The sequence below is a fragment of the Homo sapiens genome, chromosome 3 (assembly GCF_000001405.40).
Source record: "Homo sapiens chromosome 3, GRCh38.p14 Primary Assembly".
NCBI lineage: Eukaryota > Metazoa > Chordata > Mammalia > Primates > Hominidae > Homo > Homo sapiens.
In genome coordinates, this window is record NC_000003.12 from 28,493,993 (window position 1) to 28,513,662 (window position 19,670).

The 19,670-nt window shown below is 34.6% G+C and overlaps 1 protein-coding gene across 4 annotated transcripts in view, besides 1 other annotated feature; it reads left to right on the forward strand.

Moving 5' to 3' along the window:
• ZCWPW2 (zinc finger CW-type and PWWP domain containing 2) overlaps positions 1–19,670 on the forward strand; it is a 177,638-nt gene that overhangs the window by 145,272 nt on the left and 12,696 nt on the right. The gene's annotated exons all lie outside the window — the stretch shown is intronic.
• Positions 10,786–11,718: an enhancer, noted in NCBI's record as "OCT4-NANOG hESC enhancer chr3:28546269-28547201 (GRCh37/hg19 assembly coordinates)". NCBI's record gives its function as "activates a minimal SCP1, AML or CMV promoter by ChIP-STARR-seq in naive H9 embryonic stem cells {active_cell/tissue: H9 hESC(naive)}" and the evidence as "EXISTENCE:reporter gene assay evidence [ECO:0000049][PMID:30033119]".

Sequence of the window (19,670 nt, forward strand, 5' to 3'; positions counted from 1 at the left end):
GGTTGTTTGTTTTTTTCTTGTAAATTTGTTTGAGTTCATTGTAGATTCTGGATATTAGCCCTTTGTCAGATGAGTAGGTTGTGAAAATTTTCTCCCATGTTGTAGGTTGCCTGTTCACTCTGATGGTAGTTTCTTTTGCTGTGCAGAAGCTCTTTAGTTTAATTAGATCCCATTTGTCAATTTTGGCTTTTGTTGCCATTGCTTTTGGTGTTTTGGACATGAAGTCCTTGCCCATGCCTATGTCCTGAATGGTAATGCCTAGGTTTTCTTCTAGGGTTTTTATGGTTTTAGGTCTAACGTTTAAATCTTTAATCCATCTTGAATTGATTTTTGTATAAGGTGTAAGGAAGGGATCCAGTTTCAGCTTTCTACATATGGCTAGCCAGTTTTCCCAGCACCATTTATTAAATAGGGAATCCTTTCCCCATTGCTTGTTTTTCTCAGGTTTGTCAAAGATCAGATAGTTGTAGATATGCGGCATTATTTCTGAGGGCTCTGTTCTGTTCCATTGATCTATATCTCTGTTTTGGTACCAGTACCTCTCTCACCTCTCCTATTCAACATAGTGTTGGAAGTTCTGGCCAGGGCAATCAGGCAGGAGAAGGAAATAAAGGGTATTCAATTAGGAAAAGAGGAAGTCAAATTGTCCCTGTTTGCAGACGACATGATTGTTTATCTAGAAAACCCCATCGTCTCAGCCCAAAATCTCCTTAAGCTGATAAGCAACTTCAGCAAAGTCTCAGGATACAAAATCAATGTACAAAAATCACAAGCATTCTTATACACCAACAACAGACAAACAGAGAGCCAAATCATGAGTGAACTCCCATTCACAATTGCTTCAAAGAGAATAAAATACCTAGGAATCCAACTTACAAGGGATGTGAAGGACCTCTTCAAGGAGAACTACAAACCACTGCTCAAGGAAATAAAAGAGGACACAAACAAATGGAAGAACATTCCATGCTCATGGGTAGGAAGATTCAATATTGTGAAAATGGCCATACTGCCCAGGGTAATTTATAGATTCAATGCCATCCCCATCAAGCTACCAATGACTTTCTTCACAGAATTGGAAAAAACTACTTTAAAGTTCATATGGAACCAAAAAAGAGCCCGCATCGCCAAGTCAATCCTAAGCCAAAAGAACAAAGCTGGAGGCATCACACTACCTGACTTCAAACTATACTACAAGGCTACAGTAACCAAAACAGCAGGAATCTTGGCTTTTCACTGGCTGAATAATGTTCAGCTCCTTTGCAGAGAGGAATTCAATATCATAGAAAACAAGGTTGCCCTTTATAAAAGAAAGGATATAGGTCTTGTGTGTTCATCTGGAGATTTAGACAGGAATATGTGAAGTAGTGCAGTATTGTTAATGTGGATAGGTTTATTTCAATCTTTGCTAAATGATATTTAGAATCAAAGACTATAAAGATAGTAACTAGTGTTTCTATATATTGCTTTTATTTGTACCAGTTGTTCTTAACAAAGGCAATACTATTCTCAGGCTCAGTGCCATGGGCCAGATCTGACCTTTAAACTATTTGTTGGTCTGCAATGAGATATGTACAGAAAGTAAGAGTAATCATTTATGAACTTGTATGGTAATTTGATAGAATTTTTTTTTGTCTGTTGAATCTGATAGCATAAAATGGAGCTTGTATTTTTTAATATGTCTTTGTTTTTTATTTAATTTTTTCTCTAGTAACTCATTTTTATTTTATTTAATAAAAGTATGGATCTCAGATAGACTGGGGAAAAAACTGATCCTTTACCACAGATAGTTTGAGAGATACTGTCTTAGGGGACATTTAAGAAATTTTTGGAGATGCTGTGGGTTATAGTAATTTTGGAGAATACAAGGTGTTTTACTAGGCAAGGATTAGAGACACTAGATATTCTGAGATGCATGGAACAGGGCTGTGTAAAACAACTGTCCAACATTTGGGATGATTTTGGATGTTCTGCTGGACTCGACAAACTACAAATATAATTTTATATTGAGTTAATACAAAATAATACTGAAACACAGCATGTTAGGCTAAAAGCCAAGGAATGAGAAGGCTTGTTATAGAGAGGCAAACTGTCATAGAATAGACAAATTAAATGGTTCTCGAAATTATCGACTATTTTACTGAACACTTGGTAACATTTTCAACTACATATTTAGCCATAAAAGGTAAAAGTGTAGTTACCGAGAAACCGTGGAAGGAATTTACAGATATGTAACAGGAAATTTGAGATGGCTTTTGTCTTAAAACTAAATATTACTTACTAAATTAATAGAGATACATGAAATGCATTGATTTCACTGAATTTTTAAAAATAAACATTTAGAAATATTTTTAGTGTTGCTAGCAAGATTATAAAACATTTCCACAAACATTGTCTTTCACTTCAGACCCCGAGGGGAAAACAAGGCAGACATTATTATCATTGTTTTATAAAGAAGGTCATTTGTGGTTAGAGAAGTTAAGGAACTTACTCTAGCCACATGGAACTTTTAGATATTTTTATTTAATCTTAATTAGTTTTTCTTAGTTCCTATTAAAATATTGACAAGGTAGCCTCATTAAGATTTGAATGTTAATTTCACTTAGTAAGGTAGCTTTTATTTTTCTTTACAGTTTGGTTTTATAGATATTGAACATAATATTTTTAAAGACAGCCTGTTTTATATAAAATATTATAGATGTATAAAAGAAAGCTGTTGGTATGAAAGCAAAAGATAATGGCAAAATATATTAGGTAATTACTAAGTGCCAGGCACTACATACATGTTGTTTCATTTTATTCCAACAGCAATTATGGGGCATATTCAATACGATCTCTGGTTCACAAGTGAAGAAAACAGGCATAGGGATGTTGACCACTGCCAAAAACACAATGCAAAGATGGATGATAAAAAGTAAGTAACTGCTTCTAGAGCCCCTCTTCCTGGGTTGAAAATCTTAGTAGTTTGTATTTTGTTTATTTATATAAATACGTAAGTACTTATATACATTATATAATACATTATTTATGTAATACAGGGTATTTATATACATTATATAATACATTATTTATATAATACATAAGTATTTATAGAAATAAACAAAATACAAACTGTTAAGATTTTCAACCCAGGGTGAGAGGCTCTAGAATCAATTATTTACTTTTTTATCATCCATCTTTGCATTGTGTTTTTGGCAGTGGTCAACATCCCTATGCCTGTTTTCTTACTTGTGAACCAGAGATAATATTTATATATTTATATAAACAAATGTGTATATACGTGTAAATGTTTTGTGATTTTTTTTTTACAATGAGATCTTATTATATATGTTACTCTATAGATTTAAATACTTTAGATTAACAAATATAGACCTGTTTTTAACATTCTGCATAGCATACCATAGTAGATGTATCAAAGTTTTATTGACCAGTCATATATTGATGAATATGTAGATGTTTTCAAATTCCCGGTGTGGTGTGGTGCTTCTATAAGAAATGACTTAGTAAACATCCTTGGATATATATCCTTAAATGCTGGTACTATTATTTCTATAGGATAGATCCCAAAGAAGAATTGATGGATCAAAGCTACTCACAGTGTTTCCCTGCTTCCCTTGAATCAGGAGTGGACCTTGAGGAATAAGTTGTTAAAGTTATGCGTTGGCCTGTGCTGAGTTGTAGTATCAGTTGTTGCCACCTCTTTGAACCAAGATTTAAGAGTGTTGCCATCTTCAATACTATTCCTAAGTGCCTATTTTGATTGGCATTCCTGGGGTCAAGTATGAGACTTCTATCTACAAGCTTCTGCCCTTCACTTAACTCCCTTTTTTAGCTCTTCAGCCATGTGTGATAGAGGTGTGTAGTACACGTGCACCTGCCTGATCACCTCTGCCCCACTGGCAGCAGTCTGAATGAAAGAGACTCTGAGTAAGTCACACTAATCTCTCTGAGTTCCACTTGATAAAAAGGAGTGGGTCTAGATTCTGTAAGTCCCTTCCTACTCTAATATCCCGTGAACTATAAGATATTTACAACAGCTCATTAAGTATCTGTAGAATATCATAATACTTGTGCAGGCCAGAATTAATAGATATAATAAATATCTGAGTCAAGTGGGCCTAAGATAAATAATAAAATAAGGACTAAAAAACAATAGTGTACCCAGCTGATGGTGTTACCTGTAATAGATTTTGAAAGATGTTTGAATAGATATGTACATGTATGTATATATATTTATATACATATATACGTGTGTGTGTGTGTGTGTGTGTGTGTGTGTGTGTATTCAGGAAACAGTGTACTGTGGTGGAAGAATACAAACTTATAATTGAGACAACTCTGTCTGCAAGAGCTAGTTCTGCTACTTCGTTGTTGTGTCACCTTAGGAAAGTTAACCTAAACATCTTTTAGCCTCATTTAATCAGATCTCTCTAAATTGGCAGTGATAATAATTACCCTGTATGATTTTTATAGACATTAATATACAAAGCAATTATAATAACATATAGTTACTATATTATAATAGGTGGTTAATAAATGCTAGTACTTTTCTTCCAAATTTCTCCTTAGAATGACATAGGAAGTCAGGACTTAAGAAAATTTTAAATTCTCAGACTTACAATAGTATCATAGTTCTATTAGACAGTTAGGATTAGCTATGCCTTTTTTTTTTTATTATACTTTAAGTTCTATGATACATGTGCAGAACGTGCAGGTTTGTTACATAGGTATACACGTGCCATGGTGGTTTGCTGCACCCATCAACCCGTCATCTACATTAGGTATTTCTCCTAATGCTATCCCTCCCCTAGCCAGCCACCCCCCAACAGGCCTCAGTGTGTGATGTTCCCCTCCCTGTGTCCACGTGTTCATTGTTCAACTCCCATTTATGAGTGAGAACATGTGGTGTTTGGTTTTCTGTTCCTGTGTTAGTTTGCTGAGAATGATGGTTTCCAGCTTCATCCATGTCCCTGCAAAGGACGTGAACTCATCCTTTTTTATGGCTGCATAGTATTCCATGGTGTATATGTGCCACATTTTCTTTATCCATTCTATCATTGATGGGCATTTGGATTGGTTGCAAGTCTTTGCTATTGTGAACAGTGCTGCAATAAACATACGTGTGCATGTGTCTTTATAGTAGCATGATTTATAATCCTTTGGGTATATACCCAGTACTGGGATTGCTGGACCAAATGTTATTTCTGGTTCTAAATCCTTGCGGAATCACCACACTGTCTTCCACAGTGGTTGAACTAATTTATACTCCCACCAACAGTGTAAAAGCGTTCCTATTTCTCCATATCCTCTCCAGCATCTGTTGTTTCCTGAATTTTTAATGATCACCATTCTAACTGGTGTGAGATGGTATCTCATTGTGGTTTTGATTTGCATTTCTCTAATGACCAGTGATGATGAGCTTTTTTTCATATGTTTGTTGGCCACATAAATGTCTTCTTTTGAGAAGTGTCTGTTCATATCCTTCCACCACTTTTTGATGTGGTTGTTTGGTTTTTTTCTTGTAAATTTGTTTAAGTTCCTTGTAGATTCTGGATATTAGCCCTTTGTCAGATGGATGGATTGCAAGAAATTTCTCCCATTCTGTAGGTTGCCCGTTCACTCTAATGATAGTTTCTTTTGCTGTGCAGAAGCTCTTTAGTTTAATTAGATCCCATTTGTCAATTTTGGCTTTTATTGCCATTGCTTTTGGTGTTTTAGTCATGAAGTCTTTGCCCATGCCTATTTCCTAAATGGTATTGCCTGGGTTTTCTTCTGAAAATTGCCTAATTATACCCTTACCCATTTTTTCTTAGGCTTATATTTTTTCTGATTGATTTGTAGGCATAGACACTTATTAGTTATTAATAATTTGTTGATATGTTACAAACATTTTCTGATTTTCCTTTTAAATGTTTTGTAGTTCCTTTTCTGTATTTATATAGTAAAATTGTCTCTTTTGGGGATTTCAGTGTTTTTTTGACATGCTTTAAAAGACTGCTCTTTTATTAATATAAAATATGTTTCACAATTCACTTAACCTTTCTTCTATTGTTATTGGTAACACTGATGAAAAGCTTTATCAGTATAGCTTCCTCTCCTACCCTATTCATGGAATTGTTTTTTTAAGGACAATTCCCAGTAGAAGGATTATGCTGAAGTGCTCTCACCATCAGTGCTTGCAAATGCCGTAATTGTCATTGACAGGTATTAGTATAATAAAGATGTTGTTGCCAGTTTACATCATAATTTGTTGTTGTTTCTATGATGTGAAGTAAAAGAAATCTATATACTAATTTAGGGAAAAATTTCATGTTTATAATACTACATGCATCCATGTAGAAACATAGTTTGGTTCTCTATCCATTTTTATTTAGTTTTTTCAATAGAGAATTTTACATATTTCTAATTAACTCTATCCCAGATATTATTACCAACTGGAAAAGGATCTGTTTTTTAATTTTTTGTTTACCTACAGAAATTATGTGTATCTTTTTCCCTAACACTTATTAATGCCAATAATTTAACTTACTATTTGAACAACAAAATTAAGGACCATTTTCTTGATTTATACATTTCGATATGAGGAATTTCAGCTATTATGTTTTCTGATAAAAAGTATTTCTCTCCAAAGTTATTACAAAAAAATTTCATAACAAGCAGAAAATTTTCATTAGCCCAATTAACAGGATAAGTTGCTTACATTTTATGACTAGATGTCTGGATATTTGTGGTAATTGCTAAGCTTGCTATTAATATGGAATTCATGTACTGCAACTCACTTAATTTATTTGGCTTTATATGCATCCTTCCCAGAAGATAAATATATTATAGCAGATTCCTACTGCTGGGTTCTAGCCCTAGGCAGAGAGAAATCTCAGAAAAGAATAGCAAGGAGCAGAACCCCTTGGGAAGAGTTGCAGTCAGGCTTCAAAACCCATTTAATTTCCTTTTGTATTCTACTTTGTGGGCATCATTCACCTTTCCATAGGCCAGTGTTCCCCAGACTTGAATCATTCAGGTATTCCATCACCATTTTGCCATTTTCAGTACTATTACTATAGTTTTCTTTCAGTTTTCAGAGAAGAAATTTTCAACAAGTTGAGTTTAAAGATCTAATTGACTTTTATTAGCGATTCATGAATCTGGCAGCATCTTATCTATGAAATAGAAGGGTGCTCTGCTGGGATTAGCAGAATGATCAGCTTTTGTAAGGCAGCTCCAGCAGGAAGAAGGAAACAGCATTGTGCAAAAAATGAGATTGGTTAACATCAGGTTACTTCAAGTTACTCTCCTTGTGTGGCTTAAAGCAGAAGAGACTTTCTTATTATGCCAGCTCAGATTGACTGGGACCCTTGTTATTGGTTGCTGTGAAATCTCCTGGTTTTTGGAAGACAGGCTTATGTCTCAGTTCAGTTTGATTACATGACACCTAGTGCGAGTGACTCCATTCTAGTTTGGTTTGGATTATTGGAGCCTAGTGCAGGGGCACAGTCCACAACGACGACCTCCTATAAATTTTATTTAGCCAACTTGACTCAACTTTTTCATAATTTATTTTTTTATTGAAGTAAAATTTAAACACAGTGAAATGCAGAGATCTTAAGTGTATAGTTTGATAAATTTTTCTTAAATATATTTACTCATAAAACTATCATCCCCAATCAAAATAAAGAATTTTCCTTACCCAGAAAGTTTCCTCATGTAAATTGTTATCCATTTTATCCATTTATTACTTTAAATCATCAGTGTAAATCTTAACATACAAAGTTCATTTTTCTTTTTTTGAGACAAGGCTGTCGCCCAGGCTGGCATACACTGGCGTGAACACGGATCACTGAAGCCTTCACCTCCTGGGCTCAAATGATCCTTCTGCCTCAGCCTCCCAAGTAGCTGGGACCACAAGTGTGCACCACCATGCCTGGCTAATATTTGTATTTTTTTTGTAGAGACAAGGTACTCCTGGGCTCAAATAATCCTCCCACCTTGGCCTCCCGTAGTGCTGGGATTACAGGCATGAGCCACCCACATCCCACCAGAAAGTTCTTTTCATACTAATTTCATTTGCCCTATGCTCAAAATCTGTAGAGGGAAACTGCCTCCTTACAGAGCAGTATTAAAACGCCCTTCCAGAGGGTGATTTTAACAAGATACTCTTTAGTAACTTCATAACTAACCCTGCTTGATTAAATTGCAAGATTTACCTCTTTTATCTTGAATTAAAGTCTATAGGAGTTCTATAGGATAACAATTAGTAGTAAAATATTACAATTAGAGAAAATAGATAAATCTCTGATTCCAAATCCTTTTATACACCATTTATGAAGGCAAGCAAAGAATCCCTTGCTTCAGAATACCAATTTTCCGGTGCAGATTATTGTATTTGCTCCTTAAGTTAAAAAAGAAAAAGTCTATGTTGAGACTTATATATTTGCTTAACCCTTTTTTATATTTGATTTTTGCTTCATGGATCTGTCTTCAGCCAAACTGCCTACTTGTGGTTTTCACAAAATGGCCAGTGGGAGTGGGAGGAGCTGAGAAGTACAGGGTAAATGCGTGTCAAGGGTGAGTATAGCAGAGTTGAAAACTCATTTGTTTTTCTCCCCTGGAGAGAAAACAATAGTATGTTGTAGTGCGAAGACCACATTATTCCCCGAGTTCATAGGGCAAGTAGTGTAAGAAATGTTGGCTAGCAACTAGCTATAAGGGGAAGTTTTTCCATCCACAGGGCTGCTGGGCTGCTTATTGTCGCTAGGGTTGCAGTTGTAAGGGGCTGTTCTAAGAAAGTAGAAGTGGAGAGGGGTATAGTGATGCCTTCCTAAACCAGTGTTTCTTTCCCAGTGCAGTGAGCGGTTTGTCTGAGAAAATTCAGAGTTTAATTATGCAAATCTGGTTTTTGGTAAACAAAAATTGAGGTTTATCTATCTGTGATTTTCTCTAGTCGTTTAAAACTTGTTTTCATCCTTATTACTAAAAAGCAAACCCAAAAGTATCCTTTTTGAATGTCACTGTTTATAATGACTAGTTTTGTATTAATTTTTCTCCGTACATAATGCCCATTTAAAAATTCAGTTGAGATTAATTTACTTGGAATTTGAATTTGATGATACTTAAAATCTGGTGCTGCAGATTCTAAAAATTTGAAACTTTTCAACCATAAGTCTCCCTGTTTTCTATTCTATATTTTAACTTTGAGCCAGAAAGCAAGAAATATGATTCCACAAAATGTGGCTGCCGTTTTTTAAGAAACAAAATCTTCCTCAAGTACCAGTTATCAAATGGTGAACAGCTGCCAGATGTTGTCCTTTGTTATTTGGACCTAAGGTTGTGGTATGCAGTTTTCTTCAATGCATTTTGCTGATTATATTTATTGAAAATGTAATCCTTTCTCTCTGATTCAGAGACACATAAGTCCTGTTTCCAACTTCAGACTCCACACAAAATGAATCTGAGTTTCCTCTGAAGTCTGGAATATTTCTTGCTCACCATCATCATCTTCACTCCATTCCATCAAAACCAAAACCAGTATTACCAATCAATAGGTTATTGATATAATATAGAATAGGAATTTGAATAATGAGTTTGTATTTTATAGATTGTAGCAATTACACTAGTTATATTAAGTGATTTTTCTATGCCTAATAGTTACACTACTATTCTGCTTGCAAAGGGGAGAGATATCACTGGAAAAAATACAATGTCAGTGAAAAGAAAATTGGCTTATAGCAGAATTCAAGCCTACGGTTTCAAATTTATAAGCATTTGGCTTTTGTCCACAAGTCTTTTGACTTTTCATTTATGTTAAATGACACAGACCTATTTTCTTTCTTTAAAAACCTATAAATTACTACTTCTAAAATTATTTAAAATTATAATGATTTTGAGATGCTATTTGTCTTTTTGTTTATGTAGTTAATACCTTTACTTTGCCAAGCAGGGTGGCTCATGCCCATAATCCTTGCACTTTGGAAGGCTGAGGCAGGTGGATCGCTTGAGCCCCGGAGTTCAAGACAAGCCTGGGTAACATCGTGAAACTTTTTCTCTACTAAAAATTCAAAAATTATGCCAGGTGTGGTGGCGTGCATCTGTGGTCCCAGCTACTCAAGAGGCTGAGGTGGGAGGATCCCCTGAGCCTAGGAAGTTCAGGCTACAGTGAGCCAAGATTGCGCCACTGCACTCCAGCCTGGGTGACGGGAGTGAGTCCCTATCTCAAATAATGATAATAATAACAATAATTCTTTCACTTTGTTCCAGAAATAATTTGCCGTATCATGAAATATTTATATTAGAGATACATCTTAAACTTATACTCTACTATACTAGACAACATTTTAAAAATAATTTTTAAATGTTTTAGTTGTGCTATTGTGGAGAGTCTGTCTATTCCTATGTATGAGAGAGATCTTCTTATGCATCACACTGAAGGTAAATGCTTAAAGCATTTGACAATGATCCATGGGTTGAATAATCAGGCTGGTTATCCTTACTATTCTAGCTGATATAGAGAAAAATTATAAAACAAATAATGAAACATTTGACATTCATTCTTTTGTCCAGAAAAATAGCATAATGTGGATACTATAACCACTGAATATTCTCTGCATCAGCTTTTTAGAATTTAATTGAAACACATAGATTCTAGAAAGTCTTCCCTAAAAACAGTATGTTCTCCCAGCATTCCCCTTGCTAAGATATCTGTTGTTCTTAGGAAAAATCTGTACCCAAGTAGGAATTGTTTCAACTGATTTGGATTTTCAAAAAGTCTACAATTAGAGGTCAAATAATCTAATTTACTGGTTTTATTCAATCAGCTAAGCAACTGTGTCACAAATTCTGCTTTCCATGGGGTTCGTCCCTCCCCGGACACCCTGTCTGGATTAGTCCTTAGTATTCTTAAACTCTTTATAATTATAAGTGAAATCTGTTCTATTACAAAAAGAAATACCTGGATTTTCATGGTCTATCTCTGGTATATATAGTCAAAGACCGCTAAAAAATAAATTAAATGTAAGGCTTTAAAAATTATTAGTGAAGCACCAAGTCATAGAGCTCCTTGAAGTTTCCTGGTACTCCTATCCTCAGCCAGGATTGTAAGTGTTAATCAAAGCCCTTTTATGCCTTTTGTTTAGGGTGGGCTGGTGATCAACTGCTATTTTTAGGGAAAGTGCTCTCATGTCTCAGCTCACTGCTTGAATACACACTCCAGTGTTCTCTTTGATAAGCCCCTCAAAGCAGAGAAATCCACAGTGCTTTATTGTAAACTTACACATGGCTGAAGAAGAGAGTGCAGGGAACGGCAAGATATTTATAAGTCTTATTGCCAGGGACTGGTCTCTCACATTGTTCAAATCTCATAGGAATGCAGAACTCTATTAAAGGTTGACTAGACTGGAGCATGTAGCAATTGATGATTGACATTTATATAAGAAACACTAGATTTGTGTTCTTTCTATTGAAATAGTGTCTAAAATAGGGCCACCAAATGATCATTTTAATCCTCCCCTCTTTTTCAAAGGAAAGTTGAAAGCAATCATTGTCTAGGCCCAAAGACTTAACTATATTATCTCTACTGTCTGGATACTCAGATTAAGTAATAACCATCATTTGCAGTGCTACATGTAACTAGTTTTCATCCTTATTCTAAGCAGATTTTTCAAAGGGAAATGAGGATATTGGCTTTTTCTTTTATATGACTTTTAACAAGGAGTTTGTGTACATTATTCAAAGCACACAGATTCACTTTTAGAAATTCTGTCAAAGCAAGCAGCTCTTTAGTGATTATTGACTGACAATTACTCTCAAAAGAAGATTACAAAACATATTTATGTCTTCCCTGAGCATAAAATACTGAATCAAAATTTCACACCCTCGCATTTAAAAGAACTAACAGACTCATTCTTTTTGTTTAAAAATTAAAAAAGAAAACTTCATTTAGCTGAATAGTGACTTAAGGAAATGGGCAATGTCAAGTCAGTTTATGCAGATTATATAAATCTAATGTAAACACAGTTCTATGGATTTTCTGTCCTTTGCAATTAAAGGCAATTCTGTCATTTGCCATTCCAGTCAGCAATCCTAATTATCATTAAATATATATATTATATATATAATATATAATATATATATTTAACAAATATATATTTTTAATATATATATATAGTCTTTCCATGTAACCACATTGTTTTTTACACTCAACAAGGAAAGCATTAATACTTATTTGGTTTATTTAAAATCAGTGACACCTAGTGTTATATTTGTGTGGATAGGTGGAAAGCATTAAATTAGTGCCTCAAAAACTTTAATTTGCTTGAGAGTCATCTAAGGAGCTTATTTAAACACAGATTCCTGGGCCCAGTCCCAGAGTATCTGATTCAGTAGGCCTAGGGTGGGCATAAAAATTTGCATTTCTATCAAGCTAATTCTGGCCGTTACTCTGAATAGTACTAGGCTAGACAACATAGGAGAATCAGCTATGCAACAGTAGTGAGAGAGGTGGAAGGGATGGGATAGGTAAATATTACAGTATCTACCTGTAGTGGGTTGAATAGTGGCCCCAAAAAGATATATCCATCTGGAACCTTAGAATATGACCTTGTTTGGAATAATGGTCTTTGCAGATGTAATCAAGGTAAGGATAGTAAGATGAGATCATCTTGGAGATGGTCCCTAATTTTAATGTGTCACCAGATACAGATTTCTATCCTATATTACTATAAGATAATACATTTCTCTTGTTTTTCCATTTGTGATAATTTGTTACAGCAGTCCTAGGAAACTAGTGTACTACCCAAGCTCCTACTATACCAGAATGCTAAGTTCCCTCGGTCATATGCTATAAACAAAAAGGGTAGAATCTGGACACTGGTCCATAGGTAAACAATGATTGAACAACTAATTGGCAAGCAGAGTTGGATATTTTCTGAAATGTTATTTAATCTTCCCTCAAATACTTTGAGGTAGATATTTTTTGGCATCATTTAACAAAAGAAGACCTTGAAATGCCAAATAGTTATTTAGGCCACAAATATTTATTGTTTACACCAGACTTGCTGGCTATTGGAGTGGTCAGGTGACTTACAAAAATGACATAGCCAGTAAGTGCCAGAATAAGCACTTAACTCTAGATCCTGTTATACCAAATGCTGTGCTCTTCTCCATCACATTTTATCAAAGGCTCATACTAGGAAGGCAGAGAGCATTTTGGTAAATACTGACTTGTTCATTTCAGTCATTGTGGAATATTTAACAAAGTAGAAAAAGAATTAATTTTTTTCAGCAGGAATCTCTGTGATTTATGGTAACTGTTTAATGGTATTTCCATTAGTACCGATAAAGTACTTTTCACTTGTTGTTATCTTTTAATCTTATTTCCTCCTGTAGTAAACCTTTTTACTTTATATTCAAACATGCAGATAATTTAAGATGATACTTAATAACAATATAGAAATAATAGCTCTACATTGTCTTTGGAGATGGTGGTCAGTGATTTAGACTTATCAATATTCTTTTTTTTTTTTTGAGATGGTGTCTCCCTTTGTGGAGTACAGTGGTGCAATCTTGGCTTCTATGAATTTATTACAAATTTTAGTTAGCTACCTTTTGGGTTTTGATTTCACATGTTATTGCATTTTTGTCAGTGAATGTGGTCTATAAAATAGCGATTACTTTAATATTTTTGAGACTTCCTCTGTGAACCAGTAGGTGGTCAAATTTATAAATGTTTCAGGCTTGGAAACAATATTTATTCTTTAATTATTCAATGCTAGGTTTAATATATGTTCATTATATTAGGCCTATTATTTTTGTGGTTGAATTATCCTATTCACTATATTTTTTCTGCTTTATTATTTTTTGAGAGGTAAATTGTGTAAGAAATTTTAAGAGAGGTAAAAAAACCCTGTAGATTCAGCATTTTCTGTTTGTAATTCTGTGTTTTCACTTTGTACATTTTAAAGCTACGTGTCTTAGTTCATTTAGTGTTGCTATAAAGGAATACTGGGTAATTAATAAAGATTTATTTGGCTCAGGGTTCTACAGGCTGTACAAGAAGAATGGTACTGGTATCTGCTCAGCTTCTGGTGAGGGGCCCAGGATGCTTCCACTCATGATAGAAGGCAAAGGGGAGTCAGCAGGGCTCTTTTTAACAACCAACCGTAGTGAGAATTAATAGACTGAGAACTCACCCACAAAGGAGGGCATTGATCCATTTGTGAAGGATTTACCCCTATAACCCAAACACCTCCCATTAGGCCCCACATCCAACACTGGGGCTCAAATTTCAACAAGAAGTTTGGAGGGAACAAACATCAAAATTATTGCACCAATATTTTAGATAATAGACAGGTCAAGACAATTATATTTTCTGAGTTAATTTTTTTTTAGCATTTGGTAATAACCCTTTTTATCTCTGATTGTGCTTTTTGACTTAATGTCTGCTTTTTTCTACATGAAAATAGCTACATGAGGTTTCTTTTGTTAATAATTATGAATATGTTCCAGCTCCTCACTTTCAACCTTTTTGTTTTGTTTTGTTTTGTTTTTGTTTTTTTGAGACAGAGTCGCACTCCATCACCCAGGCTGTAGTGCAGTGATGCAATATTGGCTCACTGTAACCTACACCTCCCGGGTTCAAGCAATTCTCGTGCTTCAGCCTCCTGAGTAGCTTCAGCCTCCTGAGTATTACTGTTGTATACCATCACACCAGCTAATTTTTGTACTTTTAGTAGAGACGGGGTTTCACCTTGTTGGCCAGGCTTGTCTTGAACTCCTGACCTCAAGTGATCTGCCCACCTTGGCCTCCCAAAGTGTTGGGATTACAGGCGTGAGCCACTACTCCTGTCCCTTTCAACCTTTCCATGTCATTCCGTTTTTTAAATTACAGATTTATTGAGATTTAATTTGTATATCATACAGTTCATTTTTTTTTAAATGTACAATTCAGTTTTTTCAAAGCTTTGCAACCAACATCACTAGCTAATTTTAGAACAGTTTTTCATCACCCTGAAAGGAAACTTTATATCCATTAGCCATCACTGCCCATTTCCCACCTTGCCCTTTTCCGTGGTAACCACGGAATCTATTTTCTGCTTCTATAGATTTGCCTTTTTTAGACATTTTAGATCATATAATACTTTTATGCCTGGCTGTTCACTTTTCATCTATATTGTGGCATGTGTCAGTACTTCATCATTTTTAATGGCTGAATAATATTTCATTATATGGATATACGACACTTTATCCATTGGTGGACATTTGGGTTGTTTCTACTCTTTGGCTATTATAAATAATGCCATTATGAACAATCATGTACTGGTTCTTGTATGGGAATATGCTTCTATTTTTCTTGGGTATATACCTAGGATTGGAATTATGAGATCATAGGGTAACTCTAAATTTGAGGTTTTGAGGAACTACTAAACTATATTCCAAAGTAGCTGTACCATTTTATATTCCCACCAGCAATAAATAAAGATTTCCATTTCTTCACATCCCTGTGAACACTTGTCATTGTCTATTTTTTAAAAAAATATTAGCTATCCTAGTGGGTTGAAGTGGTATGTCATTGTGGTCTTGATTTTCATTTCTCTAATGACTAATGATATTAAGCATCTTTTTGTGTGCTTATTGGCTGTTTATACATCTTCTTTGGAGAAATGTCCATTCAAATTCATTGTGCCTATTTTAATTGGCTTATTGTATTTTTATTGTTGTGAGTTCTTTACATATTCTAGATACAATTTCTTATCAAATATATGATTTGAAAATATTTTTTTCTCATTATGTAGATTTTTTCACTTTCTTGATTGTGTCCGTTAAAATCACAGAAGTTTTAAAATGTTGATGACATCCAATTTATTCTTTTGTTGTTTGTGTTTCTGGTGTCATAGCTAAGAAACCATTAACTAATCCAAGATTATAAAGATTTGCTCCTGTGTTTTCTTCTGAGAGTTGTAAGTTTTATCTCTAACGTTTACATTTTTGGTCCATTTTAACTTTTATGTATGATGTGAGGTACAGGTTGAACTTCATTTTGCATGTGGATATCCAGTTGTCTGAGTACTATTTGTTGAAAAGACTATTCTTTTCTTACTGAATTGTCATGGCACCTTTGCTAAAAATCAGTTGACCATATACATGAGAGTTTTTTTCTGGACTCCCAATTCTATTCTATTGATTTATTCTTCTGTTCTTATTCCAGTACCATACTATCTTGATTACTGTAGCTTTATCATAACTTTTGAAATCAGGAGATGTGACCACCTTCTTTTAGCTACACCCTTTGCAATTGCTCCTTCTAAAGAAGAGTATATTGCCCCACTGCATGCCTTTGGCTGAACTTTGTGACTTACTTTGGCCCATGGAATAACGTCGCAGTGACAGTGCGATAATTCCAACGTAGTCCTTAAGAGGCTTGTGTATTTTTGCTTTTCTTTTGACTTTTGTAAATCCTCTTTTTCTTTACTCCATTACCAATTTGTCTTTTTTTAGGTCAGTGTTTATTTAGATTTACATAATGTTGAGCACTTAATTTACTTATCTTCACTTCTTTTTCATTTTTCTAGATTAATCTTCTTCCTCCAAAGTACATTCTGTAGTAGCTCTTTCAGCAAAGTTCTATCTTTTTAGCTCTACACTAACCCAAGTTTACCCAGTGGTCTTAGGAAAATGCAAGTCATGTAGGGCAGAGCTACCTACCTCAGCCAACCCTAGACCTACAGGAGAGCATTCCTAGCTGTTTCACTGTGCATCAGAGATGCCCCACCAAACCAAGAGGAACCTCAACCAACCTGAGGACATAAGAAAAGAAGCCACCAGTTTCTGTAAGGAAAGTCAAGGATCTTCCATGAGAAGATGATGATGTACAAATGTCTTAACTGTATTAGTCATTTACAAACACTGTGCATGTCCACTGAGGATTAGTAGGGAATGAAACAATTAGAACAGAATCTCTACTCCATGGTCACTAAGGGAACCAGATTGAGTCTCTACCACCTGGTAGCTACATTCTGGAACTTGTAGCCTTTTCAGCTATCAAGATGAGAGTCAACGCTAAGAATCTACCCCAGATGTCAAGAAAGACCCTGGGCATAATCAATGCTGAAGTGAAAAGGATCAACACTGGAGAGAGAAGAGGGGAAGAGGTAAATGTATGACAATCTGGAAGATGAATTGAATTTCACGGCAGTAAGGGAACTCAGGAAGTCATTCAACTATCCAGATGTTAACCAACTAGGAGCAAATGTCTATTCTTTATATGGGTCATATTGTTGGATCCTAACTCATGGGAACTAATAGCTTAAAGTGAGTTTCGAACAAAATTATGAAACTTGAAAATACAGCAAATGAATGTACATAATGTAAACAAGATTTTAAATGGAAAGTACTTAATTTGAAAAATTTTTTCAAAAATGTTAGCAGCAAATTCTAATAATAAATGTGCTGAATAGACAGGCATTATCTGTCTATCCAAGTGTTAAATCTATGAATTTTTCTATCCATTGAAGTACATATTTTTAGACATAATAGAAATGAATTTTCTTTAAAAAAATACAAATTATATTTCTCTTCTTTTGGTGATTATCCTTAAATATGAACATGCTTAATGGGTTTAACAATGTAAACCTAATCACCATCACTCTTCTTCTGAATAATTCAAGGTTCTTAAGATGCTTTCACCTTTGTCTAACCCCTTTTCCTCTTCCATTCAGTTGTCTACTTTTGTAAATCCTCTTTGTTCTTTACTCCATTACCAATTTGTCTTTTTTTAGGTCAGTGTTTATTTAGATTTACATAATGTTCAGCACTTAATTTACTTATCTTCACTTCTTTTTGATTTTTCTAGATTAATCTTCTTCCTCCAAAGTACATTCTGTAGTAGCTCTTTCAGCAAAGTTCTATCTTTTTAGTTCTCACTCTTGAAAAATATTATTTTAAAAATTGTAATTTTTTTCATAATCATGGAAATCAACAATCACAAAAAGCAGAGAAAATAGTATTAAACCTTTTTATACTCCTCAGTATCAACAAACACACACATATGGCTACCTTCTTGAATTTTAGTTTTATTGGATATTGTTTAATTGAAGATATGTTCCTGGATATTGTTTTGATATGGTGTCTATTACAGCCTAATTGTCTTACCTTTATAGCTTGGCACCATGGGCTTTTACAAATTGACATGAAAAATTCTTTTTTTTTTTTTCTTTCTTGAGACAGAATCTTGCTCTGTCACCCAGGCTGGAGTTCAGTGGTACAATCTCAACTCACTGCAGCCTCCGCCTTCAGGGTTCAAGTGATTCTTGTGCCTCAGCCTCCCAAGTAGCTGGAATTACAGGTGTGCACCACCATGCCTGGCTGATTTTTTTATTTTTTATTTTTAGTAGAGACAGCGTTTTGCCATGTTGAGCAGGCTAGTCTCAAATTCCTCACCTCTGATAATCAACCTGCCTTGGCCTCCCAAAGTGCTGGGATTACAGGTGCGAACCACCATGCCTGGCCTAATTCTGGAATATTCTTAGTCATTATCACTGCAAATATTTTATCTTCCATTTTGTTTCTATATTATTCTTATGCAACTCCTTTCAGAAATATTCTTGACCTTATCATTCTATTCTCCATGATTCTTAGCTACTTTTCCAAAAAGTATTTTTGTCTCTCACTGCTATAGATTTGGCGATCTCATCAAATCTACCTTCCAGAATAGTTATTCTTTCTTCAGTGTATCTAATCAGCTCTTTAATTCATCCATTGAATTTTAAATTCAATGACTTGACTTTTTTTTTTGATTCTAGAAGTGCTATTTGGCTCTTCTTAAAAATTCTTTCATGGCTCATAGATATCATAGAAACCTGAAGTTGTTCATTATAGTTTCTAATCCATTTTAACCCTTTAATAACTTAAATACTTATTTTTAATTTAGGTTTATTGCTGTAATACAAACTTACAAAATGAAAATCATAAATGTAGATAAAATTAGATGAATTTTTATAAAATGAGCATTCCCCTCTAACCAGCACCAGATCAAGAAGCAAAACATTTCCAGAACTCCAGAAGTGTTCTCATGCCCTCTTCTAGTCACACTTCCTACCTCCAAGGTAACTGCTATCCTGACTTGTAGTGCCACAGTTTAGCTTTGCCTGTTTATAGTTTTATGTCAACTGAACTATACAGTGCAAATATAATTATTTTATGGGCTTTTTCTTCTCCAAATGATCTATATGCTCTTAATACTTGTGAATTACAAAGACCCTGTATACATTTTTACATTAATTTCTTGGCTCTTTTGCTTACTTTTGTCTTGGTGATTTTAGAAGTCCTAGCTAAGTCTTCGTGTTAATTATTCGATTGGGAAATCTCAGGAGACATGAAATTGGATTTCTCACTTTAATGGTGTAGACCTAGTGTTTTCATTCTTTTAGGATTATTGCTTTTTGTCATCTAATTCCCCATGTCAGACTGCGTACTACCTTATTGCTTTTGTGTCCCGGTGAGTGAAGTTTTTCCTATTTTCTTGTTATGGACAGAAAAAATCCTTGGAGTCCCTAGGCTTTATGGAACATTATTAGCACAGCTCTCTAACCAGTGTCACCCTCAAAACATGTCACTTATCTTTGCCTAGACATGAAAAGCCCAGCTCAAACTCCTTTGGCCCCTTATCCTGGTACAAATTTCTTTTG